General features: G+C 51.5%; 2 protein-coding genes and 1 non-coding gene across 6 annotated transcripts in view, besides 5 other annotated features; all 3 read left to right on the forward strand.

Annotated features, from left to right (window-relative positions):
* LASP1 (LIM and SH3 protein 1) overlaps nt 1-16,296 on the forward strand; it is a 51,713-nt gene extending 35,417 nt beyond the window's left edge. For all 4 annotated transcript variants that reach the window (NR_073384.2, NM_006148.4, NM_001271608.2 and 1 more), the window contains 3 exons: nt 8,851-9,001; nt 9,569-9,672; nt 13,131-16,296. Coding sequence is in view for 3 of the 4 variants with exons in the window: in NM_006148.4 (NP_006139.1) it covers nt 8,851-9,001; nt 9,569-9,672; nt 13,131-13,304 (429 nt within the window). In the remaining variant the exon portion in view is untranslated. The remainder of the gene's footprint in view (nt 1-8,850; nt 9,002-9,568; nt 9,673-13,130) is intronic.
* Nucleotides 6,438-7,397: an enhancer, noted in NCBI's record as "H3K27ac-H3K4me1 hESC enhancer chr17:37068165-37069124 (GRCh37/hg19 assembly coordinates)". NCBI's record gives its function as "activates a minimal SCP1, AML or CMV promoter by ChIP-STARR-seq in primed H9 embryonic stem cells {active_cell/tissue: H9 hESC(primed)}" and the evidence as "EXISTENCE:reporter gene assay evidence [ECO:0000049][PMID:30033119]".
* MIR6779 (microRNA 6779) lies at nt 9,505-9,568 on the forward strand. Its single transcript, NR_106837.1, has one exon. It is a non-coding gene; the product is annotated as a microRNA 6779 (primary transcript).
* Nucleotides 11,201-11,379: a silencer, noted in NCBI's record as "fragment chr17:37072928-37073106 (GRCh37/hg19 assembly coordinates)". NCBI's record gives its function as "represses an EF-1alpha promoter that drives an FKBP-Casp9 reporter gene in an ReSE screen in K562 erythroleukemia cells {active_cell/tissue: K562}" and the evidence as "EXISTENCE:reporter gene assay evidence [ECO:0000049][PMID:32094911]".
* Nucleotides 16,525-17,135: an enhancer, noted in NCBI's record as "H3K27ac-H3K4me1 hESC enhancer chr17:37078252-37078862 (GRCh37/hg19 assembly coordinates)". NCBI's record gives its function as "activates a minimal SCP1, AML or CMV promoter by ChIP-STARR-seq in primed H9 embryonic stem cells {active_cell/tissue: H9 hESC(primed)}" and the evidence as "EXISTENCE:reporter gene assay evidence [ECO:0000049][PMID:30033119]".
* Nucleotides 20,140-23,907, forward strand: LASP1NB (LASP1 neighbor). The gene is made up of 2 exons (NM_001414697.1): nt 20,140-20,417; nt 20,943-23,907. The coding sequence occupies exon 1, from the start codon at nt 20,220-20,222 to the stop codon at nt 20,295-20,297; it is 78 nt and encodes a 25-aa protein (NP_001401626.1). The 5' UTR covers nt 20,140-20,219; the 3' UTR covers nt 20,298-20,417; nt 20,943-23,907.
* Nucleotides 24,219-24,764: an enhancer, noted in NCBI's record as "OCT4-NANOG-H3K27ac hESC enhancer chr17:37085946-37086491 (GRCh37/hg19 assembly coordinates)". NCBI's record gives its function as "activates a minimal SCP1, AML or CMV promoter by ChIP-STARR-seq in primed H9 embryonic stem cells {active_cell/tissue: H9 hESC(primed)}" and the evidence as "EXISTENCE:reporter gene assay evidence [ECO:0000049][PMID:30033119]".
* Nucleotides 24,765-25,311: an enhancer, noted in NCBI's record as "OCT4-NANOG-H3K27ac hESC enhancer chr17:37086492-37087038 (GRCh37/hg19 assembly coordinates)". NCBI's record gives its function as "activates a minimal SCP1, AML or CMV promoter by ChIP-STARR-seq in primed H9 embryonic stem cells {active_cell/tissue: H9 hESC(primed)}" and the evidence as "EXISTENCE:reporter gene assay evidence [ECO:0000049][PMID:30033119]".

The following is a 26,121-nucleotide window of genomic DNA, read 5'->3' on the forward strand; positions in this document are numbered from 1 at the left end:
GAGTTGAGATCGCACCACTGCATTCCAGCCTGGGCGACAGAGTGAGACTCCATCTCAAAAAAAAAAAAAAAAAAAAGTGTGCTCCTTCAACTTTACGAGATAATGCGGAACTATTTTCCAAGTGGCTGCACTGATTTACCCTCCCACCAGCAGAGATGAGTTTCATTTGCTCCATGTGCTCAGATATGTTCACTTTAGCATTTTGATCGTGTAGAGTGTGATAGCCGATGGTTTTAGATTGCATTTCTGTGATTACTAATGAAGTTGAGTACAGACTTTTGTTTGTTTTAAAAATAAAATACTGGGGCATGGTGGGCTCACGCCTGTATCCTAACAGTTTGGGAGGCTGTGGTGGGAGGATTGCTTGAGGCCAGGAGTTTAAGACTTGCCTGGGCAACATAGCAAGATACCATCTCTACAAAAAAAAGAAAGAAAATTAGCCGTGCATGGTGGCATCCACCTGTAGTCCCAGCTACTCGAGCGGCTGAGGTGGTAAGATTGCTTGAGCCCAGGAGTTTGAGGCTGCAGTGAGCCATGATCACGCCACCGCACTCCAGCCTTGGTGACAGAGCGAGACCCTGTCTCTAAAAAATAAATAAATAAAATATTGTGAGTCTCTGATGGGGAGCAGTATTGCATGGTGGTTGAGAACTGAGGCTCTGATGTTAGAACTGGATTCTGACTTAACCCACTGTTTGCCCACATCTTGAGCCTTGGTTTCCCTATCTGTAAAATGGCAGTATTCTCGGGCTGGCTGAGGAAAGGAAATGAGGCCAGGCGCGGTGGCTCAGGCCTGTAATCCCAGCACTTTGGCAGGCTGAGGCAGGTGGATGATTTGAGGCCAGGAGTTTGAGATCAGCCTGACCAACATGGCAAACCCCCGCGTCCACTAAAAATAGAAAAAAATAGCTGGGCATGGTGGTGCACCCCTGTAGTCTCAGCTACTTGGGAGACAGAAGCAGGAGAATTGGTTGAACTTGGAAGGTGGAGGTTGCAGTGAGCTGAGATCGCACCACTGCACTCCATCCTGGGCGACAGAGCAAGACTGTCTCAAAATAAATAAATAAATAAATAAATAAAGTTAAAAAAGAAAAGGAAATGAGTAATGCATGTAAGGGCACCCAAAAAAAGACCCTAGCTGGTGAGCTGATGATTCCACCCAGAGCCTGCTGTTCCCTCGTTCACTGTGATGTATAATCATGTGAGGAGCACCGTATGGAGAGTCAGACTTTTATTTTCCACCACAGTTGGGAGAGCAGGGGGGTCAGAAAACAGAACATCAGCTAGCAGAGCTTTGTCATGGACCCTAACTTGTCATCCTGGAGTCCCAGCTAGTAGGGTCCTGGCTGAGTCGGGAGGGTCCTTAGGCCTGGACCCCTGAACCCACATGTACTTGGACCTCATGGGCACAGGTAGAGTGTGGCCTGTGTCCACAGAGGCCCAGGACAGCTTCCAGGCTGGGGGCTGTGCTGACATGTCTGGGCTTAGGGCGCTCCTCACTCAGGGCTCTCTGAAGGCCAGAACTTTGCAGAGCTTGGAGCAGGGATGAGCCAGGCCCTTGGAAGCTGGGAAATGTTTCCTTGCCTTCTGAATGTGCTAACATCCCCCTCATGTGCCTATTTGCTTAACAAACCAGTAGGTGGGTCAGGAAAGTAATAACACAATTTCCTCATTTGCTGGCGAGGGGAAGGAGAGGAAGCTGAGGGTTTGGAAATTTTATCCAAGTGGGCCCAGGCTGGAAGGAGCTGAGCCTCACTTTTTCTCAGCCCATTTAGCCGCTCTGTGCCGCCTGTCCTGAGTTGCATGCCTGGTGTCCCTCTCTCTCGAGTTAGGGTGACTTTCTGATTATCATTCTTGTTGAGAGTGAAAAGGGGTGCATTGAAATTTATCCCTGAGCAGCAGACATGAACTGGGACTTGGGCGTGTGGTCACCCTGCTCCACACCTGTTCTCAGGAAAGGGCCTGTCTAGCTGTGATTTTGTCCTTGTGTCACCAGCCTTGGCTGTTACTGAGCAATGAAAGCTCTGCCTCGGGAAGTCATTTAATTTCTGAGCCTCATGTTCCTCTTCTGGAAGATGGGAATGAAAGTGTGCGTGTCCGGCCCATTTTTTAGGGCAATGATTGTCAGGGTATGAAGAGCTTGGTCAAGCTGTGTGAAGAGCTGTACAGCTGCAGAGGTTGTTAACATTGATAGAGCCACCCAGGAAGGGTGTCCTGGGTTCAGGCAGCTACTCCTCCAGCCGTCGGGTCAGCCAGCCGTAACTTTAGATACACTTATCCATGTGTAATGACTTTTTAAGAAGCAAGATCAGTTTCCCCAGCCCTTTATGGGAATACCCATGTGTCCATACTTGCTTTCAGCTTAGAGTTTGCTCAGGTTCCTAGAGCTGGTCAGGGTTTGCAGGACCGCCTGGGAGCAGATGGTACCATGGCCTTATTTACAGATGAGGAAACTGAGACCCAGAGGGGAAAGTGACTCCCAAGGTCATGTAGGTAAGCATACGGCTCCCCTAAGGATGAGGCATTGGTCTGGTGACAGTGCAGCCCATCATAAGGGACTGAGCCTGTGGGGTCCAGACCTGCTCTCCTCCCAGAGGAAAAGGCTCCCTGTCACCCCATCGCTAATGCAGATAGCGTCATGTCCAGGGAAGCTGTCACACATTCATCTGGGCCCCCAACATCAAGGACACCTGTCCCTGCAGGCCCCCTGCTGGCACCTTCGGGGCCCAGGGCAGGCCCCTGTCCATTCCGTGTCTGCACTTCCCTCCCTGGTCACAGGTTCTCAGGGGCAGGCTCTTTTCCTTAGCAGAAAGGAAACAAGGGAAGCTGACCTTTCCCACCTCAGAACAAAAGTTGGAAGGGCAGGTGCCTCGTGAGCCTGGAGGCCTCAGGAGGGGTGTCCCCTTCCCTTGTGCCCTCCCCGCCACCAACACCAGTGGACAGGGATCACTAAGAGAGTGGGGCTCGGGAGACTCACCTTCTGCGCTGGGTCTGTGAGAACATCACCTGGAGTGCCCCTCCCAGCGGATGCTGGGGTCGGTTGGATTTTCAGCCTGGCCAGGGTTGGCTGCCTCACCTCAGGAACAGGCTTAGCCTGTGCTGCCACGTGGGTGCCGGTCCTTGCTCTGGCCTGAAGGGAGGGGGCCGGGAAAGGAGGGACTGATCCTGACCCAAACCCCTAAGTAAACTGCCCTCTGCGTCCAGACTGGACTCCCCCCAGACTCTGTCCAGGCCCTTACCACTGCCCTCCCTGTGCCCCCAGCCCGGGCTGCAGGAACTATTGGCTGTTCAGCCAGCAGGAGCAGCAACCATGCAGGTGTTTCCAGCTGTTAACGTGTAAGCCCTGCCTGGCCACGTGCTTGCTCTTGCCTTTTGTGCACAGCCAGTGCCAAGGGGGAGAGGAGGCAGCAGAGACGTTGTGCGGAGGGGATGCCCAAAGGGGACTGCCCAGGCTGGGACAGCCCTGATGGGGCAGGGGCGTTCCAGGAAACAGCAGGTTTTGCCTCTCCTCCTCTTCCCACCCCACTACTCCCACCCCATTTTCCCGGATCAGGAAAAGGCAGGCCAGCATTCTAGGGAACAGGAAGTGAAGTTGGCTTCCAGCTAGGTGCCTGCCAGGGCCTGGAGGAAATTCCTGCAGGCCTGAGCCCGTCTGGGAAGGACCAGTTTCTCTCCTTGTCCTGGTGTCCTGCTTTCTGAGTTTCCCCTGAGGGTGGGGGAGAGCTGTCACTCTCTTCACTCTATGTCCCGCTTCCTCCCCCATCCTCATGGAGCACTCAAACCCTGAACCCTCACACCTTTCTATGGTTGTACCCGTCCCCACCAGTTTCCTCTCTGGAAAGTGAAGAGGAGGCTGGGCACGGTGGCTCACGGCTGTAATCCCAGCACTTTGGGAGGCCGAGGTGGGCAGATCACAAGGTCAAGAAGTTCAAGACCAGCCTGGCCAACATGGTAAAAGCCTGTCTCTACTAAAAATACAAAAATTAGCCGGGCGTGGTGGCAGTTGCCTATAATCCCAGCTACTCAGGAGGCTGAGGCAGGAGCATCACTTGAACCCGGGAGGCAGAGGGTGCAGTAAGCCGAGACTGTGTCACTGCACTCCAGCCTGGGCGACAGAGCGAGACTCCATCTCAAAAAAAAAAAAGAAAGAAAAGTGAAGAGGATAGAGCCCACTAGGGGTCATCAAGGTGTGGGACAGGCAGCATGTTCCTACAGGAAGAAAACTCTAACTCCTGGTTCTGGTTCTTTTTCATCTCATTCATTCATTCATTCATTCATTCATTCATTTGTTTTGAGATGGACTCACTCTGTCTCCCAGGCTGGAGTACAGTGGCTCGATCTCAGCTCACTGCAATCTCCGTCTCCTGGGTTCAAGTGATTCTCATGACTCGGCTTCCCAAGTAGCTGGGATTACAGGTGCCCACCACCATGCCTGATTAAGTTTTGTATTTTCAGTAGAGACAGGGTTTCACTGTGTTGGCCAGGCTAGTCTTGAACTCCTGACTTCAAGCAATCTGCCAACCTCGACCTCCCAAAGTGCTGGGATTAAAGGTGTGAGCCACCGCACCTGGCCATCTCATACTTTCACAATTCATTCTTTGGTGCAAGTTTTACAATATACATTCTATATTTGTCAAGTGATAACTTCCATGTAACTTATAAAATACACATAATTCAGGAAGATTGTGCTAAAATACATTTAACCAATAGGAGTATGCCGTCAGAATATTTTGGCAAACAAGGGTCACTAAGTTTTTTCTGTAAAGGGCCAGGTAGGAGGTATCTCAGGCTTTGTGGCCATATGGCCTCTGTGGCAGCAGCTCAGTTCTGCAGTTCTGCCATGAAAGCAGCCACAGATAAGAGGTAATTGAGTGGGTGTGGCTGTGTTCCAATAAAACTTTATTTCTGGAGGCTGAAATTTGAATTTCAGAGAAATTTCATGTGTCATGAAATATTATTCCTCTTTTGGTTCTTCTTCCCCCCCTCCACCGCCCCCTGCCAAGCATTAAAGAATGTGGAACCCGTTCTTAGCAGCCGGCTGTGGGCTGGATTTGGTCCATGGACCATAGATTCCCAGCTTCTGCTCTAGACCACCCGTTCTCAGACTTGAAGCCTGCTTCAGACTTACCTGGAGAGCTTTTTTCCAAAATGCATATTCCAGAACCCCAGCCCTGATTTTGTAGATTTTCTGGAAGGCCCCAGAACCCGCATTCTAACAAGGAGCCCAGTTGAGTCAGACACAGGTAGTCTGGAGTCCACTTTTTTTTAAACAGAGTCTCAGTCTGTTGCCCAGGATGCAGTGCAATGGCGTGATCTTGGCTCACTGCGACCTCCGCCTCCAAGGTTCAAGCAATTCTCGTGCCTCAGCCTTCCGAGTAGCTGGGATCACAGGTGCCTGCCATCATGCCCAGCTAATTTTTGTATTTTCAGTAGAGACGGCATTTCACCATGTTGGCCAGGCTGGTCTCAAACTCCTGACCTCAGGTGATCCACCAGCCTCAGCCTCCCAAAGTGCTGGGATTACAGGCGTGAGTCACCGCGCCCGGCCAGGAGACCACATGTTAAGAAGCAAAGCTCAAGGGTCTCCAGGATCCTGGTCTGTTCTCTTCAGCCAGTCCTGAGGCCTGGGGTGTGCAGTGCTGTGGGAGACCCCTGCATCAGAATAACTGGCTCCTTCACTACCTTCCAGGAGCTTCCATCCAGTGGGGGTGGGGGACACCACCCGCCAACAGCACAGCCCAGTCCCAGGTGCTATGGAAGCCCTGGGTTCAGCCTGGAGCCAGGGCCAGCGTCCCGAGGATGAGGTGCCGAGATGGACCTTGAAGGATGAGAGAAGCCTGGACTGCCCTTGAGTGGCGAGGGTGGGCTGCCTCCAGGTTGACCTTAATCCCTTCCCTCCCTACCACCATGTGTCCAGATGACCTTGGGCAGGTCCCTTAGCCTCTCTGGATATCGGGATATGACATTGACTACCTCAGAGACTTGTGGGGAGGATTCGGCGAGCTGATATGCATGAAGTGTATCAACTAGGGCTGCTGGCTGGTATCTCCTTCCCTTGTCTTCCCCCACCACCCCAGCCAGGGGACAGGGTGCTGCTGAGGGAGTGGGCTGGGAGAGTCACTTCTGGCCTTGTCTTAGGGATCTGAGAACAGGGCATGGGCCCCGTGTCTGGGAGTGCCCTGGTGCCCTTCCTAGTGGGGTTGGGCGTGGTCAGTCTGGCCAGGGCTGGCTCCCTCCCCCATAAATAGGCTCACCTGGAGGTCTTTTCCCATTTGAGGCAATGAGATATGTATGTGAGGCTTTATGACTTGTCTTTTTTTTTTCATTTTGAGACAGAGTCACGGAGTCTCACTCTGTCACCCAGGCTGGAGTATAGTGGCATGATCTTGGCTCACCGCAACCTCTGCCTCCCAGGTTCAAGCTATCCTTTTGCCTCAGCCTCCCGCGTAGCTGGGATTATAGGCGCCCGTCACCACACCCAGCTAATTTTTGTAGTTTTAGTAGAGACAGGGTTTCACCAAGTTGGCCAGGCTGGTCTCGAACTCCTGACCTCAAGTGACCCACCCACCTTGGCCTCCCAAAGTTCTGGGATTACAGGCGTGATCCACCGTGCTCGGCCTCACCACCCGCCTTTCTTGTGGTGTAGTTCTTGCTGCCTCAAGAACTACATATATCAGGCCTCAAAACCCACCTGATATATGCGTGCCTGGGAATAGGGACCTTGACTTTTCCCCTGTCCCATATGGGCCCAGGGGCCGGTTCTGGGCTGGCCCAGGTGGGGCTAGAGCAGCTGGATCCAGGCACATGAGATGTGAAAGTGTGGGCCTTACGCCGCATGGAGCGGCTGGAGGAAGGAGAGAGGGAGCAAGGGTGCCGCAGGGTCAGATTGCCACAGGGCCAGGGTGCCACAGGGTCAGGGTAGGGCCAGGGTGCCATAGGGTCAGAGTAGGGCCAGGGTGCCACAGGGTCAGGGTAGGGCCAGGGTGCCGCTGGGCCAGGGTGCCGCAGGATCTGGTTGCCACAGGGTCAGGGTGCCGCAAGCACAAGGAGTCACCCGTGATTCTCCAGGGTCTGGCTCTTGGGCTGAGATCCAGGAGACCTTGGCAGGCCTGTCTTTGGGAGTCTGGCACAGCCCCAGAAGGCCATCTGGACAGTTTTCAGACCTGAGAGGAGGAAAGGGCTTGTGTCTGGAGAAGGTGCCATGGGGGATGGGAGGTGGAGGAAGCCTGGGGCCAATCAGGATCTGGATCTAGCAGGGAACACCGAGGCCGGTGTTCTCGTCCCACCATGGGACTCAGCCTGAAGAAGACAAGGTGAATGAACGACCATTTCTCTCTAACTCAGTTGGCTAAGAGGACTGAGCTGGCGCCGAGGCTCTGGACACAAATGGGCCAGTTGACCCTGAGGTTTCTTTCTGGTAGTGGAGGTGGGGCTTCCTCTGGCTGACCCTGCTTAGGTCTCTGATGGAGGTAGCAGGGGCTCTGGTTCCCCCAAACTGGCCAAGTCCTCCACCATAGCACCCAAGGGGTCTGGGCAGAGTGCAGCTTCCCTCCCCTCCCCAGCTTGGCTTGGTGGGCACCTGCCTCCCCTGCCCTCCTGACCTTGATGGCTAATGCAGCCAGCCCCAGGCAGGCACAGTCACAGCCCTCAAACAACATGAGGCCCAACTCAAGACTCCTGGGTGGTGGTGGTCAAGGTGGGGGACTCTGTAGCCAGTAGAGCACTGTGGGGGCAAGAGACTGACTTGAAGGCTTGGAGCCTCACATGCCCGCCTAGTGGGGTGGTCCTGAGGGATATGACTTCTTTGGGCCTCTCTGCTCATTTTTGGAACCTGACCCGAGAAGGAGCCCATCCAAGACAATGTCCCGCCCTCAGGGAGGGTCTGGCAGTTTTTATCCCTAAAGGCTGGGATTCTCAGCGGAGCATCCTAGGCTGTAGTACCCACGACATCTTGCACACAAGAGGTGGAATCGCCTGTTGATGAAGAGCAAGGCTCTGGAATCTGTGATCTTGGGCCACTCACTTCACTTATCAATCCCTTCGCTTCCTTCTTGCCTGTTACATGGGGTCTGCAATCTACCCCTCAGGGGCGCTGACGAGCTCACATGAGCCTGTGACATAAAACACCTAGCACGGCCCTGGCGCAGTAAGAGCTCAGGAAACGGGCTGCTGCTGTGGTTACTGTGGACCCAGGCGGAAACAGAGCAGCCCCGCCCCTGCCGCAGGCATATAAAAGTGACCACTTGGCCGGTCACGGTGGCTCACGCCTGTAATCCCAGCACTTTGGGAGGCCGAGGCGGGTGGATCACCTGAGGTCAGGAGTTTGAGACCAGCCTGGTCAACATGATGAAACCCTGTCTCTATTAAAATACAAAAAATTAGCTGGGCGTAGTGGCAGGCGCCTGTAATCCCAGCCGCCCAGGAGGCTGAGGCAGGAGAATCACTTGAACCCTGGAGGTGGAGGTTGCGGTGAGCTGAGATCGTACCATTGCACTCCAGCCTGGGCGACAGAGCCAAACTCCGTCTCGAAAAAAAAAAAAAAAGAAAAGGGACCACTCACTTTGGTCTGATTCTTCAGTTCTCATGGTCCTTTTACATCGGTCATTTCATTGCATTCTCCAACAGTGTCTGAGGGAGACTGGTGTCTCATTTTGCAGAGGTGAAAACTGAGGCTTGGCAAGATTAGGTAGCTTGTCCAAGGACACACAGCTGGTGCTTCCAGAGCGAGACCTGGCTTTCTGTACCCAAAGCTCTTGGGTAGTCTCTCCCATCCTGGGATCTTGAGGGTCACGGGAAGGAACTGGGTGGTTTGCAGTGGGACCCTTCACCTAGTGCCTTCTGACCTTGCAGATAAAATACCATGAGGAGTTTGAGAAGAGCCGCATGGGCCCTAGCGGGGGCGAGGGCATGGAGCCAGAGCGTCGGGATTCACAGGACGGCAGCAGCTACCGGCGGCCCCTGGAGCAGCAGCAGCCTCACCACATCCCGACCAGTGCCCCGGGTGAGTGCAGGTCCTGTTGGTGCAGATGACCTGAGGCGAGGCCAGTGGGGTGGGGAGGAAGCCAGGAGAAGACAGACAGACAGATACACCTTCCGGAGCCTTGCTCTTAATCAACAGGCGATTATGCCTCTTGTGTGCAAGAGGGGACCAGAGGACCTGAGGCCGGGCCAGCTGGGGTGGGGAGGAAGTCGGCGAGAGACAGACACACACACACACACACACACACACACACACACACATGCACGCACGCATGCAGGCGAGGAAAAGACTGCTTCCCAAGACCCCAAGTTCCATTCTCATCCAGAATGAGGACGTGAGCACCAGGGTCAGGCCTGTACTGGGCCAAGAGGATTGAAAGGAGAGGCCCCCAGGTCATGGGGCTCAGAGCCCCTGCGTGGGATACAACACACAGGCAAATGTGCACACGTGGACATCAGCCTTTGAGCTGTGGGGCTTGAGCCAGGTTGGGGGCGGGGTGGAAGTGCATGGTATGGACTTCTCGGGAGCTCTGGGAGGGGCTGGGTTTGGCAGGACAGTTTCCAAGCCCTGTCTCCTCCCATCTTCCAGTTTACCAGCAGCCCCAGCAGCAGCCGGTGGCCCAGTCCTATGGTGGCTACAAGGAGCCTGCAGCCCCAGTCTCCATACAGCGCAGCGCCCCAGGTGGTGGCGGGGTGAGTAACCCTGGCCGGAGGGGAGAGGCCAGAGGCAGGGGGTCCTTCGGGAAGGCTTGGACACAGCTCATGGATTCTCCTGACCTTTGCACCCACCCTCTGTTGTGTGTGATGATAAGGATCTCAGCCTTGTGAGCAGAGAGGAAATTGGTTGGCGTAGTGGGCAGAGGCTGGCTGGGACTGGGGCCCTGCGTTCCAGCCCTGGTGTACCATGGGCAGGTTGCTCACCCTGCTTTGGGTGGGGTTTCCTTACCCCAGCTACCTGGGAACACACAAGGCAACTTTCTGCATGGGGCCTTCCAGCACTGGGCGCTGCTCTCCTCGCTTCATGAGGATGGCCCCCACATCCTTCAGCTCTCAGGCTGCCCCTGCCTCTGAGGGGCCTCCCCAGCCATGTCGTGTAAAGCGCATCACCCTGATGCTTTGCATCACTCGACTCCGCTGGCTGCCTTCAGAGCACTTTTTCCAACTAAAAAGAGCTCTTCGTGTTGGTCACCTTCTCTGTGTCCCCTGCTGGGCTGGGGACCCTGGCAGCGTCCGTCTGGTTCACCTACTCTGAGCCAGGCCTAGAGCAAGTGAATAAGCCCAGCAGGAATGGGGTGAGATCAGGCTTCCTGAGCCCTCAGAGCTGAAGTCCCGGCTCTGTAAGTCCTGCCACTCACTCCACCCATGGGTGCCGCTGAGCCACCCTTACCAAGCTCCTGGCAGGCTCAGCGCCTCCAGGCTGGGTGCCTGGGAATTCAAAGTAGCTCACGTAGGAGCAGAACAGATACTTAGAGAGATAAAATCGCCTGAGATAATGGCTGGCTGGAGTCTGATGCTCTGGGCACACAAACAAAGGGATGTTAGGACTGCCCAGGGCACTGTGGGCGCAAGAGTTAGTCTGAAGTATAAGGTTCCAGGCAGCCCAGCCAGTCCCTCCCTCCTCAATGGGTCTGTCCTGGATGTGTAGGGTCCATCTCTGAATATAAAGCCACCTCTCTGCCCTCTGGGGGCTTACATTCCAGTCAGGGGGACAAACAAGAAAACAATAAGAAAATAGGTGTATAACATAAGGTCAGCGGTGACACGCTGTGAAGAGAAAGACAGCAGGGTGAGGGATGGATAGAAAGCAGCTGGATTAAGACATTTGGCCGGGGGTGGTGGCTCACGCCTGTAATCCCAGCACTTTGGGAGGCCAAGGCGGGCAGGTCACTTGAGGTCAGGAGTTCGAGATCAGCCTGGCCAACATGGTGAAACCCCCTGTCTACCAAAAATACAAAAATTAGCCAGGTGTGGTGGTGTATGCCTGTAACCTGTAATCCCAGCTACTCGGGAGGCTGAGGCAGTAGAATTGCTTGAACCCGAGAGGCAGAGGTTGCAGTGAGCCAAGATTGCACTATTGCACTCCAGCCTGGGTGACAGAGCAATATCTCCAAAGAAAAAAGACATTTGGCCGGGTGCGATGGCTCACACCTGTAATCCCAGCACTTTGGGAGGCCAAAGTGGGCAGATCACCTGAGGTCAGGAGTTCGAAACCAGCCTGGCCAACATGGTGAAACCCTGTCTCTACTAAAAATATAAAATTAGCTCGGCATGGTGGTGCATGTTCATAATCCCAGCTACTCGGGAGGCTGAGGCAGGAGAATTGCTTGAACCTGGGAGGTGGAGGTTGCAGTGAGCCGAGATCACGCCATTTGCACTCCAGCCTGGGCAGCAAGAGCAAAACTCCAGCTAGAAAAAAAAAAAGAAAAAAAAGACGTGACATTTGAGCAAAGTCCTCAATAAAGGAAGGAGTGAGCCGTGCAACGAGGACAGGAAGTGCAAAGGCTCTGAGGCAGGAATATTCTAGGAAAGTTCAGGGAGCAGCAGGAAGCCCGAATTGACTAGAGTGGGAGAGGGTGGGAGGTCCGATTATGCAGGGACTTGTGGGCCCCAGGAAGGCCTCTGTGACCTGTGATCTGTGCAGAGCGACATAGGTTTTTGGAAGACCACCCTGGCAGCTGTGTTGAGAAGAGGCAGTGGTTTGAGGGTAGAAGCAGGGAGACCGTCAGGAGGCTGTTGCAGGATATAGGCATGGATGGGAGTGGCTCAGCCCAAGATAGAGGCAGAATTGGTGATGAGAGAGACTGAGGTTACTTCATGGGAGGTGTGACTTCTTATCCCATAGACCTGTTGGTTTCAAACTGTCCTGTGGAGCCTCAGAGACCAGTCAAGGGCAGTGAAGGTCAGGGGAGGTAGAATGTTGTCTATAGCTATAGGATTTATTTTTCTTTTTTTTTTCCTCTTTCTTTTTTTAAACTCCATCCTGGTAGTAGGTGGCGCTGTAGGTTTTTGTGTGCCTTACTGAACATTACCTAGATCTAGGGCTTAAGCGGCAGATTTTGGCTGAGGCTTGGAAGGTGGAACCTGATAGACTCGTCTTCTGTCCTCTGAAGATTTTTCTCCCAAGGAAAGATCTTTGTCCTGAACTTGGACAGGACTCATCATGGCTTCTAAAAGAAACTACTGGTGCTTATAATCATACAAATAATAGCATACAGGGCATGTTTTTTCTGTTTTTTTTTTCTTTTTTGAGACAGGGTCTTGCTCTGCTGCCCAGGCTGGAGTGCAGCAGTGGTGCAATCACAGCTAGCTCACTGCAGCCTTAACCTCCTGGGTTGAAGCCATCCTCCCACCTCAGCCTCCTGAGTAGCTGAGACTACAGGCATGTACCACTAAGCCTAACTAATTTTTTATTTTTTGTTGAGATGGGCTCACGCTAGTACTTTGGGAGGCCGAGGCGAGCGGATCACTTGAGACCAGGAGTTTGAGACCATCGTAGCCAACATGATGAAACCCTGTCTCTACAAAAAAGTACAAAAATTAGCCGGGCATGGTGGTACACGCTTATAGTCCCAGCTACTTGGGAGGCTGAGGCAGGAGAATCGCTTGAACCCGGGAGGCGGATGTTGCAGTGAGCCAAGATCACACCATTGCACTCCAGCTTGGGTGACAAAGCAAGACTCCATCTCAAAAAAAAAAAAAAAAAGAGGGAGTTGGGGGGTCTTACTGTGTTTCCCAGGCTGATTTCAAACTTCTGGGCTCAAGCAGTTCTCCTGCCTTGGCCTCCCACAGTGCTGGGATTACAGGCGTGAGCCACTGCACCTGGCCTGCATGTCGTATTTTTAGACATTACTCTGTCATCATGGCTGGTGGACCTTACTGCAGTCCTGTTCAGGGAGGTGGGGCAGAGCTGATGTGACCCGGTCCCTGCTCTGCCTCTGGCCCTTAGTAGCTGCCAAAGGTTGTAAAAGATCGATTGCTCTCAGAAAGCAAGACACAGAGGTTAAGAATCTTTGCAGCAGAGCCTGGTGCTCCATTTCTGAGTTCACTGCTCCCCCAGGCTCTGCTCCAGGGTCGTGGAGAGTTAGAAAAAAATGCTCAGACCCAGGTGAGCCGGCATGCAGGGCCCTAGGCTGACCACACTTCCCCCACAGAAGCGGTACCGCGCGGTGTATGACTACAGCGCCGCCGACGAGGACGAGGTCTCCTTCCAGGACGGGGACACCATCGTCAACGTGCAGCAGATCGACGACGGCTGGATGTACGGGACGGTGGAGCGCACCGGCGACACGGGGATGCTGCCGGCCAACTACGTGGAGGCCATCTGAACCCGCAGCGCCCCCATCTGTCTTCAGCACATTCCACGGCATCGCATCCGTCCTGGGCGTGACCCGTCCATTCTTCAGTGTCTCTGTTTTTTAAAACCTGCGACAGCTTGTGATTCCTACCCCTCTTCCAGCTTCTTTTGCCAACTGAAGCCTTCTTCTGCCACTTCTGCGGGCTCCCTCCTCTGGCAGGCTTCCCCCTTGATCGACTTCTTGGTTTTCTCTCTGGATGGAACGGGCATGGGCCTCTCTGGGGGAGGCAGGGCTGGAATGGGAGACCTGTTGGCCTGTGGGCCTCACCTGCCCCTCTGTTCTCTCCCCTCACATCCTCCTGCCCAGCTCCTCACATACCCACACATTCCAGGGCTGGGGTGAGCCTGACTGCCAGGACCCCAGGTCAGGGGCTCCCTACATTCCCCAGAGTGGGATCCACTTCTTGGTTCCTGGGATGGCGATGGGGACTCTGCCGCTGTGTAGGGACCAGTGGGATGGGCTCTACCTCTCTTTCTCAAAGAGGGGGCTCTGCCCACCTGGGGTCTCTCTCCCTACCTCCCTCCTCAGGGGCAACAACAGGAGAATGGGGTTCCTGCTGTGGGGCGAATTCATCCCCTCCCCGCGCGTTCCTTCGCACACTGTGATTTTGCCCTCCTGCCCACGCAGACCTGCAGCGGGCAAAGAGCTCCCGAGGAAGCACAGCTTGGGTCAGGTTCTTGCCTTTCTTAATTTTAGGGACAGCTACCGGAAGGAGGGGAACAAGGAGTTCTCTTCCGCAGCCCCTTTCCCCACGCCCACCCCCAGTCTCCAGGGACCCTTGCCTGCCTCCTAGGCTGGAAGCCATGGTCCCGAAGTGTAGGGCAAGGGTGCCTCAGGACCTTTTGGTCTTCAGCCTCCCTCAGCCCCCAGGATCTGGGTTAGGTGGCCGCTCCTCCCTGCTCCTCATGGGAAGATGTCTCAGAGCCTTCCATGACCTCCCCTCCCCAGCCCAATGCCAAGTGGACTTGGAGCTGCACAAAGTCAGCAGGGACCACTAAATCTCCAAGACCTGGTGTGCGGAGGCAGGAGCATGTATGTCTGCAGGTGTCTGACACGCAAGTGTGTGAGTGTGAGTGTGAGAGATGGGGCGGGGGTGTGTCTGTAGGTGTCTCTGGGCCTGTGTGTGGGTGGGGTTATGTGAGGGTATGAAGAGCTGTCTTCCCCTGAGAGTTTCCTCAGAACCCACAGTGAGAGGGGAGGGCTCCTGGGGCAGAGAAGTTCCTTAGGTTTTCTTTGGAATGAAATTCCTCCTTCCCCCCATCTCTGAGTGGAGGAAGCCCACCAATCTGCCCTTTGCAGTGTGCAGGGTGGAAGGTAAGAGGTTGGTGTGGAGTTGGGGCTGCCATAGGGTCTGCAGCCTGCTGGGGCTAAGCGGTGGAGGAAGGCTCTGTCACTCCAGGCATATGTTTCCCCATCTCTGTCTGGGGCTACAGAATAGGGTGGCAGAAGTGTCACCCTGTGGGTGTCTCCCTCGGGGGCTCTTCCCCTAGACCTCCCCCTCACTTACATAAAGCTCCCTTGAAGCAAGAAAGAGGGTCCCAGGGCTGCAAAACTGGAAGCACAGCCTCGGGGATGGGGAGGGAAAGACGGTGCTATATCCAGTTCCTGCTCTCTGCTCATGGGTGGCTGTGACAACCCTGGCCTCACTTGATTCATCTCTGGTTTTCTTGCCACCCTCTGGGAGTCCCCATCCCATTTTCATCCTGAGCCCAACCAGGCCCTGCCATTGGCCTCTTGTCCCTTGGCACACTTGTACCCACAGGTGAGGGGCAGGACCTGAAGGTATTGGCCTGTTCAACAATCAGTCATCATGGGTGTTTTTGTCAACTGCTTGTTAATTGATTTGGGGATGTTTGCCCCGAATGAGAGGTTGAGGAAAAGACTGTGGGTGGGGAGGCCCTGCCTGACCCATCCCTTTTCCTTTCTGGCCCCAGCCTAGGTGGAGGCAAGTGGAATATCTTATATTGGGCGATTTGGGGGCTCGGGGAGGCAGAGAATCTCTTGGGAGTCTTGGGTGGCGCTGGTGCATTCTGTTTCCTCTTGATCTCAAAGCACAATGTGGATTTGGGGACCAAAGGTCAGGGACACATCCCCTTAGAGGACCTGAGTTTGGGAGAGTGGTGAGTGGAAGGGAGGAGCAGCAAGAAGCAGCCTGTTTTCACTCAGCTTAATTCTCCTTCCCAGATAAGGCAAGCCAGTCATGGAATCTTGCTGCAGGCCCTCCCTCTACTCTTCCTGTCCTAAAAATAGGGGCCGTTTTCTTACACACCCCCAGAGAGAGGAGGGACTGTCACACTGGTGCTGAGTGACCGGGGGCTGCTGGGCGTCTGTTCTTTACCAAAACCATCCATCCCTAGAAGAGCACAGAGCCCTGAGGGGCTGGGCTGGGCTGGGCTGAGCCCCTGGTCTTCTCTACAGTTCACAGAGGTCTTTCAGCTCATTTAATCCCAGGAAAGAGGCATCAAAGCTAGAATGTGAATATAACTTTTGTGGACCAATACTAAGAATAACAAGAAGCCCAGTGGTGAGGAAAGTGCGTTCTCCCAGCACTGCCTCCTGTTTTCTCCCTCTCATGTCCCTCCAGGGAAAATGACTTTATTGCTTAATTTCTGCCTTTCCCCCCTCACACATGCACTTTTGGGCCTTTTTTTATAGCTGGAAAAAACAAAATACCACCCTACAAACCTGTATTTAAAAAGAAACAGAAATGACCACGTGAAATTTGCCTCTGTCCAAACATTTCATCCGTGTGTATGTGTATGTGTGTGAGTGTGTGAAGCCGCCAGTTCATCTTTTTATATGGGGTTGTTGTCTCATTTTGGTCTGTTTTGGTCCCCTCCCTCGTGGGCTTGTGCTCGGGATCAAACCTTTCTGGCCTGTTATGATTCTGAACATTTGACTTGAACCACAAGTGAATCTTTCTCCTGGTGACTCAAATAAAAGTATAATTTTTACCTGCGGACTTGGTTTCCTCTCTGGCTCTGAGCTGCTGTTGTGTGTGTCTGTGTGTGGGTGTGTGTCTCTAGCTGTAAGGTGCTGCTGTGTGTGTGTGTGTCTAGCTGTAAGGTGCCACTGTGTGTGTGTGTGTGTGTGTGTCCTGTCTGCTTGGGGGCACTGGCCTGTGGCCCTCCTGGGACCTCTGCTGCCCCTCGGGGAGAGAATGACTTGTCTGGATGCCAAGGGGGAGTTTGCTGCTGTCTGTCAGGCCCTTGGCCCCTACTTCCTCCTTGCTGAGAACTCCCCACCAACCTACTTCTGGCTTTCCACCCGCTCATTCCTCTCTGCCCAACTTGGTGATGCTCCCGGAAGCTTCCCTGAGCTCCGTCTCGTATTACTGTGTCACTTCCTCAGTGACATATCTGTCTCCCCACTAGCCAGAGCCCTTGGGGCAGGTGATGAGTCTAATTCATCTCTAAATCCCGGGTACCTGCCCAGGAGCGGTGCGGAGCTGTTGAATTAATGAATGAGCTTGGCTGGGGAGCAGTTCTAGCACTCTGCCGCTGCCAGGCAGAGAGCAGGAGCTCCACGCATTTGAGGAACGAGATGACAGGGCATTCCACAGTGGGACGGGACCTGGATAAAGCTGTCTGTAAGGTGGCCTGGCAACCCAAAGCACTATTCACAGTGCCTTCTGAATGTAATCTTTAATACACATCCCCTTTCTTCCTTCTTCCTCACAACCCTGTGAGAGAAGTAACTACTTATAGAGGGGCTCACTGAAACCCAGAAAGGCAAAGCAGATTGGTGGCAGTCACAGCTAGTGGCAGAGTGGGGCCTGAGACCCCCATGTGATGCTCACAGTCTGGTGCTGTGCCACCCGGCCATGGCAGGCCGCGTGCCTGTGTCTGTGGCAGCTCTTAGATGTGTGTCTCCTGGGCTCCATGTTTTGCTCCAGGTGCCCAGGGTCTGTGACTGGCCAGAAGGCCAGGCGGCCTCCCCTCTTGCTCATTGGGCTTGGGAAGAGGACAGTGGTAGAGAGGGGAATCTGGCCCTGCTCAGTGCTGCCAATCAGCCTCAGGTCCAGCTGCTTGAGGGGCATTTCTCTCTTGGGGCTCAGAACTAAGGAATTCTCCAGCCTCAGAATCACAGCAGGGTGGAGAGGAGGAGGGCTCTCCTGAGCTGAGCATTTGTAATCTGGAGAATGACATGGCCAGAGTCAGCTGAGCTGGGGCAATGTGGGGAGCATCCAAGGCTGCCCTGGGTGGTATAATTAGAGACAGCACTGACACCTGCTCCCCTCCAGGGGTGCAGGCAGCCCAATACTTTCCCAATAGAAGGGAATTAGTTGGCAAAGCTTGCCTCATGTCGGCCTGCCCCACTCCCCGGGAGGCTTCATTCACCTTCAGATCTATTTGATGGAACAGTGCTTTGGGGGACATTGCTGCCAAGTCTCCACTCCCTGCTCACAGAAAGCTCTGCCTCCTGGAAATGGGCCAATGGGAGGAGTTTCTGGATTTCCTTCTGGCAGTGGCCTAAGTTCCTGAGGTCTTGCATTATGAGGGGGTTACCAATATATCTTAACCCCAGGCCTTTAAAAAAAATATTATTTGGGGTGGGGGCCAAGGAGACTAGGCCTCAGAGACGTCCTAGGGAATGATTTAATTTAATAGAAAATAATTGAGGCTTATAAAAAGGCACAAAAATCCTGGCTAACACAGTGAAACCCCGTCTATACTAAAAATACAAAAAATAAGCTGGGCGCGGTGGCGGGTGCCTGTAGTCCCAGCTACTCGGGAGGCTGAGGCAGGAGAATGGCGTGAACCCGGGAGGCAGAGCTTGCACTGAGCTGAGATCGTGCCACTGCACTCCAGCCTGGGTGACAGAGCAAGACTCCGTCTAAGAATAAATAAATAAATAAATAAATAAATAAATAAATAAATAAATAAAAAGAATAAAATAATTCTCTTTTCCCCCTCAGAAGAAACCACTTGAATTTTTTAAATTTCAGGGATACCCCTGGGGAATTCTTCAGTGTCCTCTCTGTGTACAACACTATGCTGAGCTTTTGGAAGAGGATACCAAAGAAAACAAAACTAGGCCGGGTGCGGTGGTTCACACCTGCAATCCCAGCACTTTGGGAGGCTGAGGTGGGAGGATCGCTTGAGTCCAGGAGTTTGAGACCAGCCTGGGCAAAATGGCAAGACCCCGTCTCTATAAAAAAAGAAAGAAGGAAAACAAAACAGTGGGTAATGACTGCAAAGAGACGAAGGAGTGGGTGGAGGAGGGGTCTCTGGTGCTCGTCCTGTAGGTGGATCGATGTGAAAGCAGTCCACTGCAAGCTGAGCAGTGCACGTGGGGTGTAGGGGCCTTCCGGACCAACAGGGGGAGCAGTGTGGCGCAAGAGGAAGAATATGGACTTTGGTGTCAGCATGCCTAGTTTTGAATCCTGGTCTCTGACATTTTTAATTAATTAATTAATTATTTTGAGACGGAGTTTCACTCTTGTTGCCCAGGCTGGAGTGCAATGGCACAATCTCAGCTCACTGCAACCTCCACCTCCCAGGTTCAAGCGATTCTCCTGCCTCAGCCTCCTGAGTAGCTGGGATTACAGGCATGTGCCACCATGCCCAGCTAATTTTGTATTTTTAGTAGAGCTGGAGTTTCTCCATGTTGGTCAGGCTGGTCTTGAACTCCTGACCTCAGGTGATTCACCTACCTCAGCCTCCCAAAGTGTTGGGATTACAGGCATGAGCCACCACACCCAGCCTTTTACTTTTTATTTTATTTATTAATTTATTTATTTTTGAGACGGAGTCTCGCTCTGTCACCCAGGCTGGAGTGCAATGGCACGGTCTCAGCTCACTGCGACCTCTGCCTGCCGGGTTCAAGCAATTCTTTAGCCTCAGCCTCTTGAATAGCTGGGATAACAGGCACCTGCCACCACGCCCGGCTAATTTTTATTTTTATTTTTTTTTTGAGACAGAATCTTGCTCTGTAGCCCAGGCTGGGGTGCAGTGGCGCGATCTCAGCTCTGCCTCCCGGGTTCAAGCAATTCTCTGCCTCAGCCTCCCAAGTAGCTGGGATTACAGGCATGCACCACCAAGCCTGGCTAACTTTTGTATTTTTAGTAGAGACAGGGTTTCACCATCTTGGCCAGGCTGGTCTTGAACTCCTGACCTTGTGATCCACCTGCCTCGGCCTCCCAAAGTGCTGGGATTATAGGCATGAGCCACTGCGCCCGGCTGGTCTCTGACACATCTAAGCTATGAACCATTAGGGTAAGTTTCTGACCATCTCTGAGCCCCATCTATGAAAGACTCATAGGGAGGTTGAAATTGCACCACATGTACGATATCTGGCCCAGTGTAGGAAATGTATAAATGTTAGCTTCATCCCTCAGGGAAGCCCACTGAGATCCACACGAAACTTTTGTCTGTGTCTCCCCATAATGTGACCTTTAGAAGTTGCCAATGGCCCACCCAATACCCAACCATGATTTTTCTGAGATAATCTGCCCGAGGTGTGTGAGAGGAAACGCGAAGAAGGCAGTCAGGAGGATTCACTCTTGGGGGAGCTGGGTAGGATCCTATCTCCTCCTACATCCAGAGCATGCAGGCTCCATTTAGATACAAAGGGGTGGGATTGGGTTCCTGGGGAGAAATTGAGCCCCTTTGATTCTGCGGTTCTGTGGGTCTAAATCTGGCATCTCCTTGGCTATCCACCCCCAGGCTTTGTGATTGGTTGGCTGTGGTTGGTGGGGGGGCAGGAAGCTGCTGGTGGAGCTGCAGCATCCTTCAGTCTCAGGCCCCTGGGAGGGGGAGGGGAAAGAACCAGGGCTGAGCTGTGGAGTGAAGGGGAGCCATTTCTCTCCACCGACTGCAACCTCCGTGCTCACAGCTCACGGTTCACCAGAATCCAGGGGCTTGGTCGGCCTAGGAATCCACAATGCTGGATATTTTCATCCTGATGTTCTTTGCCATCATAGGCCTGGTCATTCTGTCCTACATTATCTATCTGCTCTAGTGGCCTGGAGCTGCGGCCGGAGCCTGCTGGAGAACAGCTCAGAAGGAAGGATGGAGATGAATGGCCGAGTGCCCTGCTTGCTGACGCACCGGTGGATTTTTGCTTCTGCTGTTATCTCGGGTATTGATTCCAAAAAAAAAAGAAAAGAAAAAAAGAAAGAGTTTGCTTTCCTATTTTTTTTCTTAGACCACTCTGAAAAGAATAAGAAATGCCAGCTTCTTTCTTTGGGACCTAATTTAAAATAAGACTTTAAAAATTACAAATAAAATCCACAATGTAAACGATTTTTAGGCAGAACGGGTTGGGAATGATGGATGTGGTGGGGAGGGACTATTATTTCCTAATTTCTTCTTCAAGTTAGGTGCTCAAACTCAAGTTGTCTATTTTCTTCTGGTAATTAAAGGTAAAACACATCTTTGCATGTCAGCATACTTGCAATATAGTTGTTTACAACTATGCTTGTATAATTGCATTACTTAATGATTGACTCATTCTTATTTGAGGGTGAGACGGCAAATAAATTTTACTTGGGGTGGGGTTTTCGGGGAGATGTCCAACTGTGGGATATGGTGGAGAGGAGGGAGGAACTCCTGGTACTTTGCAGTTGTCCCCATCTGAGACTTTTTATTTCTGGGTTTCTTACAGCTCCTGGTCTCTCCAGTCCAACAAGAGGCCTCTCATCCACAGAAGCAGTCCTACTGCCCAGCAGACCTCTTTCAGAGCCTTCCAGACATGGCTGACCCCTGGCAAGCAAGGGGCTTTTTGAGCTGAGAGGCACTTGGCTGGGACTTCAGGAATTCATGGACAGGGCTGGCAGATACTGCATATGTTTGAGCTGTAGATGGGATTGAGAACAGAAAGTTGAAATGGAGACTTATTAAAGTTACCGTGGAGAACTGCTCAAAAATTCATTTTGAATTAAGGAAACTTAAATTCATTTTAAGTTTCCTTAGATCTAAATGCAACTGCACATTACACTCAAATATGTTCCTTCCTTCTCACACACAGGACTCCCTTGTGAAACTCAAGGGGAAGTTCAAGTTGTCCATCTTCATCTATGAAGTAGTCACTTTATCACTGTCTTTACAGATTGCACAGTCTGGGGTTTTGTGGTTTCTCTTGTCTCACTCTCCAGCCAGGAAGAACTTGTCATTTGAGTTTTTAAAATGTATCATTTCTTCCCCACCTCAAACCACTTGTATCCCAGTTTCTCATTTAAAGGGAGAAATGGTTATATAGTCCTCTCTTTGCACCTGATTGAATTATAAATGATAGAAACAAGATGGCTATACTTATTTAGGAAAAATCTCTTACCCCAAAATGAGTGTGTGTGTGTGTGTGTGTGTGCGTGTGTGTGTGTGTGTGTGTTTTAATCAAAGATCTTTTCTGGAAAAAACTTTCCACATAGTTCTCTGACCCATTAGAGTTGAAGAAACTATGTATTTTGGGATTCAGAGTAGAATTGGCCTGCAAATCTGGGGTGTTTATTCCTTTTACAAGTCTATCATAATTGTTCTACATTTAATTTTCCTTTCTTGCTTAAAAGTAAACAAGGAGAGTCAGGAGTGGTGGCTCATGCCTGTAATCCCAGCACTCTGGGAGGCCGAGGCGGATGGATCACCTGAGGTCAGGAGTTGGAGACCAGCCTGGCCAACACGGTGAAACCCCGTCTCTACTAAAAATACAAAAATTAGTCAGGCACAGTAGTGCGCGCCTGTAGTCCCAGCTACCCGGGAGGCTGAGGCCGAAGAATTGCTTGAACCCGGGAGGCAGAGGTTGTAGTGAGCCGACATCATGTCACTGCACTCCAGCCTGGGAGACATAGCGAGATTCCGTCTCAAATAAAATAAAATAAATAAATAAATAAACAAGGAGAAAGATTAGTTTTTAGTAATAACATTGTGTCCAATTTCCATGTTTTAAAACAAAAATTGAGGCATTATATGTCACAACTGAAATGGAAAAGTTGTGTTTAAAAATTATGGACAAGGCCGGGCACGGTGGCTCACGCCTGGAATCCCAGCACTTTGGGAGGCTCAGGCAGGAGGATCACTTGAGGTCGGGAGTTTGAGACCAGTCTGACCAACGTGGTGAAACCCTGTCTCTACTAAAAATACAAAAATTAGCTGGTGTGGTGGCAGGTGCCTGTAATCCCAGCTACTCAGGAGGCTGAGGCAGGAGAATCGCTTGAACCTGGGAGGCAGAGGTTGCAGTGAGCCGAGATCACACCTCTGCACTCCAGCCTAGGTGACACAGCAAGACCCCATCTCAAAAAAAAATAATAATAAAAACATAAAAATTATGGACAAGAAAAAACACTATTCTGGAAGCTTTGTTTTGGCAACAAATTATATGACCTGACCTTTCATAAGTCATTTAAACTTTAGGGCTAGGCCAGGTGCTATGGCGCATGCCTATAATCCCAGCATTTAGGGAAGTAGAAGCAGGAGGATAGCTTGAGGCCAAGAATTCCAGACCAGCCCAGGCAATATAGCGAGACCCCCGTCTCCACAAAAATAAAAAATAAAATAAAAATAAATAAATACATAAACTTTAGGTCCTCTGTTTATTCTGTCAAATGAAAGTGTTAGGCCAAGGTCGCATTATCTCTTTGGAAACTACATCGAGAACAGAATTCCCATGGAACGAACTCTTAATAGTTCACTGGTAGTCCCCCTTTTCTGAATATTCTTCCCAACATGACACTTTATAACAAAAATTTAACTGCAAAACTCTTTTTTTTTCACCAACAGCCAGATTTTGATGAGAAAATGGCCATATTTATTTACTCCAAATATATATTATGTCTGTGATAATTTGCCTAAACTGTTTAAGGAATATTAACAAGTATGATACTGCATCGTGGTATGTAGCAAAAAGATAGGTAATCTGACATACATGGATGCAAGCAGCATGGCTGTGAACCTGGATATATTTAGAAATGATCTTCAGTGGAGTCCTTGATGTGACATTTTCCACTAAAACATTCTTCTAACTCTGGTATATCTTAGTGTTTCGAACTATAATTTCCGTCTTCAAGCCAAGACAGCAGCTCTACATCCTTACCTAGGTAATTCAGGCATGCGCCAGTATTTTGGAGGGGTCCAAATTAGAGTTAGTTATGATGGTATAGATCTTTAAAGTATAGTCTAACCAAGCTTGCTCTGGTCTTTTGTGACATCAAGGCTTCTCAGTCTGTATTCACATAAAGTTGAAACAACTAATCAATTCAGTGAAAAAAAATCAGCAGATTTCACTCATACACTGGTGATATATACCACTGGTATTGGGTACAATGTAAGGAGAGAGGATTACCCATCTCTTCAGTTACTTGTAAAATATGATTTTAAAAAAATAAATCAATACATTTTGGAAAAATTATATGACTTTGTGCTTATATTTATGCAACAATATGCTAGCTTATAACAGGGTTTTACTGTGTTATTTTGATAGTTGTTTAAATTTTACATTTAAACTATTTGTATTTTGGCATCCCAAAACATAATAAAACACTGCAAAAAGTTACCTCTGTAATATAAGATTTTGTATAAATTTTATAAATTTGTGTCATAGGGTAATTTTGTCCAATAAAATGTCAATGAGATAAAAACCACTCTGAAGAATTATAAATTACTTAGAAAAAAATCAAGTGACAATGCTAAGAATCATTACACTAATACCTGCTTTCTTGATGAAAACAGGGGGTTTGTGGGGAAGAATGATGTATTTTATTTATTTTATTTTTTGGTTTTTGAGACAGAGTTTCGCTCTTGTCACCCAGGCTGGAGTGCAATGGCACAATCTTGGCTCACTGCAACCTCCGCCTCCTGGGTTCAAGCGATTCTCCTGCCTCAGCCTTCCGAGTGGCTGGGAGCACAGGTGTGCATCCCCATGCCTGGCTAATTTTTGTATTTTTTAAAGTAGAGACAGGTTTTCATCATGTTGGCCAGGTTGGTTTGGAACTCCTGACCTCAGGCTATCTGCCTGCCTCAGCCTCCCAAAGTGCTGGGATTACAGGTGTGAGCCACCGTGCCTGGCCAAAATATCATTTTGATTTTAAATTACTCAAAAATAATGGGACTTTTCCTTAGGCATCGAAGTACAACTGAAGTGGAAAATTGTCTTTGTAAATTACATGCTTTGGCTTTATCAAACTATAGATATTTTCAAAGCCTAGAGTGGCCTCTTCTTTTTTTTTTGTTTTCTTTTATTATTATTATTATTTTTTTTTTTATTTTTTATTTTTTATTTTTTATTGATCATTCTTGGGTGTTTCTCGCAGAGGGGGATTTGGCAGGGTCATAGGACAATAGTGGAGGGAAGGTCAGCAGATAAACAAGTGAACAAAGGTCTCTGGTTTTCCTAGGCAGAGGACCCTGCGGCCTTCCGCAGTGTTTGTGTCCCTGGGTACTTGAGATTAGGGAGTGGTGATGACTCTTAACGAGCATGCTGCCTTCAAGCATCTGTTTAACAAAGCACATCTTGCACCGCCCTTAATCCATTCAACCCTGAGTGGACACAGCACATGTTTCAGAGAGCACAGGGTTGGGGGTAAGGTCACAGATCAACAGGATCCCAAGGCAGAAGAATTTTTCTTAGTACAGAACAAAATGAAAAGTCTCCCATGTCTACCTCTTTCTAGACAGACACGGCAACCATACGATTTCTCAATCTTTTCCCCACCTTTCCCCCCTTTCTATTCCACAAAACCGCCACTGTCATCATGGCCCGTTCTCAATGAGCCGCTGGGCACACCTCCCAGACGGGGTGGTGGCCGGGCAGAGGGGCTCCTCACTTCCCAGCAGGGGCGGCCGGGCAGAGGCGCCCCTCACCTCCTGGACGGGGCGGCTGGCCGGGCAGGGGGTTGACCCCCCCTACCTCCCTCCCGGACAGGGCGGCTGGCCAGGCAGAGGGGCTCCTCACTTCCCAGTAGGGGCGGCCGGGCAGAGGCGCCCCTCACCTCCCGGACGGGGCGGCTGGCCGGGTGGGGGGCTGACCCCCCCACCTCCCTCCCGGACGGGGCGGCTGGCCGGGCGGGGGGGCTGACCCCCCCACCTCCCTCCCGGACGGGGTGGCTGCCGGGCGGAGACGCTCCTCACTTCCCAGACGGGGTGGCTGCTGGGCGGAAGGGCTCCTCACTTCTCTGACGGGGCGGCTGCCGGGCGGAGGGGCTCCTCACTTCTCAGACGGGGCGGTTGCCAGGCAGAGGGTCTCCTCACTTCTCAGACGGGGCGGCTGGGCAGAGACGCTCCTCACCTCCCAGACGGGGCCGTGGCCGGGCAGAGGCGCTCCTCACATCCCAGACGGGGCGGCGGGGCAGAGGCGCTCCCCACATCTCAGACGATGGGCGGCCGGGCAGAGACGCTCCTCACTTCCTAGATGGGATGGCGGCCGGGAAGAGGCGCTCCTCACTTCCTAGATGGGATGGCCGCCGGGCAGAGACGCTCCTCACTTTCCAGACTGGGCAGCCAGGCAGAGGGGCTCCTCACATCCCAGACGATGGGCGGTAGAGTGGCCTCTTCTAAGTCAGTTTTGTGCCCATCTATTTTAAACAAAAATAAAACCAAAGTCATATATTAACAGGGGAACAGAAAAAGCCATTGACACAACTTCCATTATAAAATCAAACACACCAAGGCAGATACATTAGAAATGTTTAAGAACATCTTTGTACTTAAAATTTAAACTGTGAGACTGCCAGGTGTGGTGGTGGCTCACGTCTGTAATCCCAGCACTTTGGAAGGCCGAAGCAGGTAGGTCACTTGAGGTCAGGAGTTGGAGACCAGACTGGCCAACATGGTGAAACCCCATCTCTACTGAAAAT

This window comes from Homo sapiens, chromosome 17 (assembly GCF_000001405.40).
Source record: "Homo sapiens chromosome 17, GRCh38.p14 Primary Assembly".
NCBI lineage: Eukaryota > Metazoa > Chordata > Mammalia > Primates > Hominidae > Homo > Homo sapiens.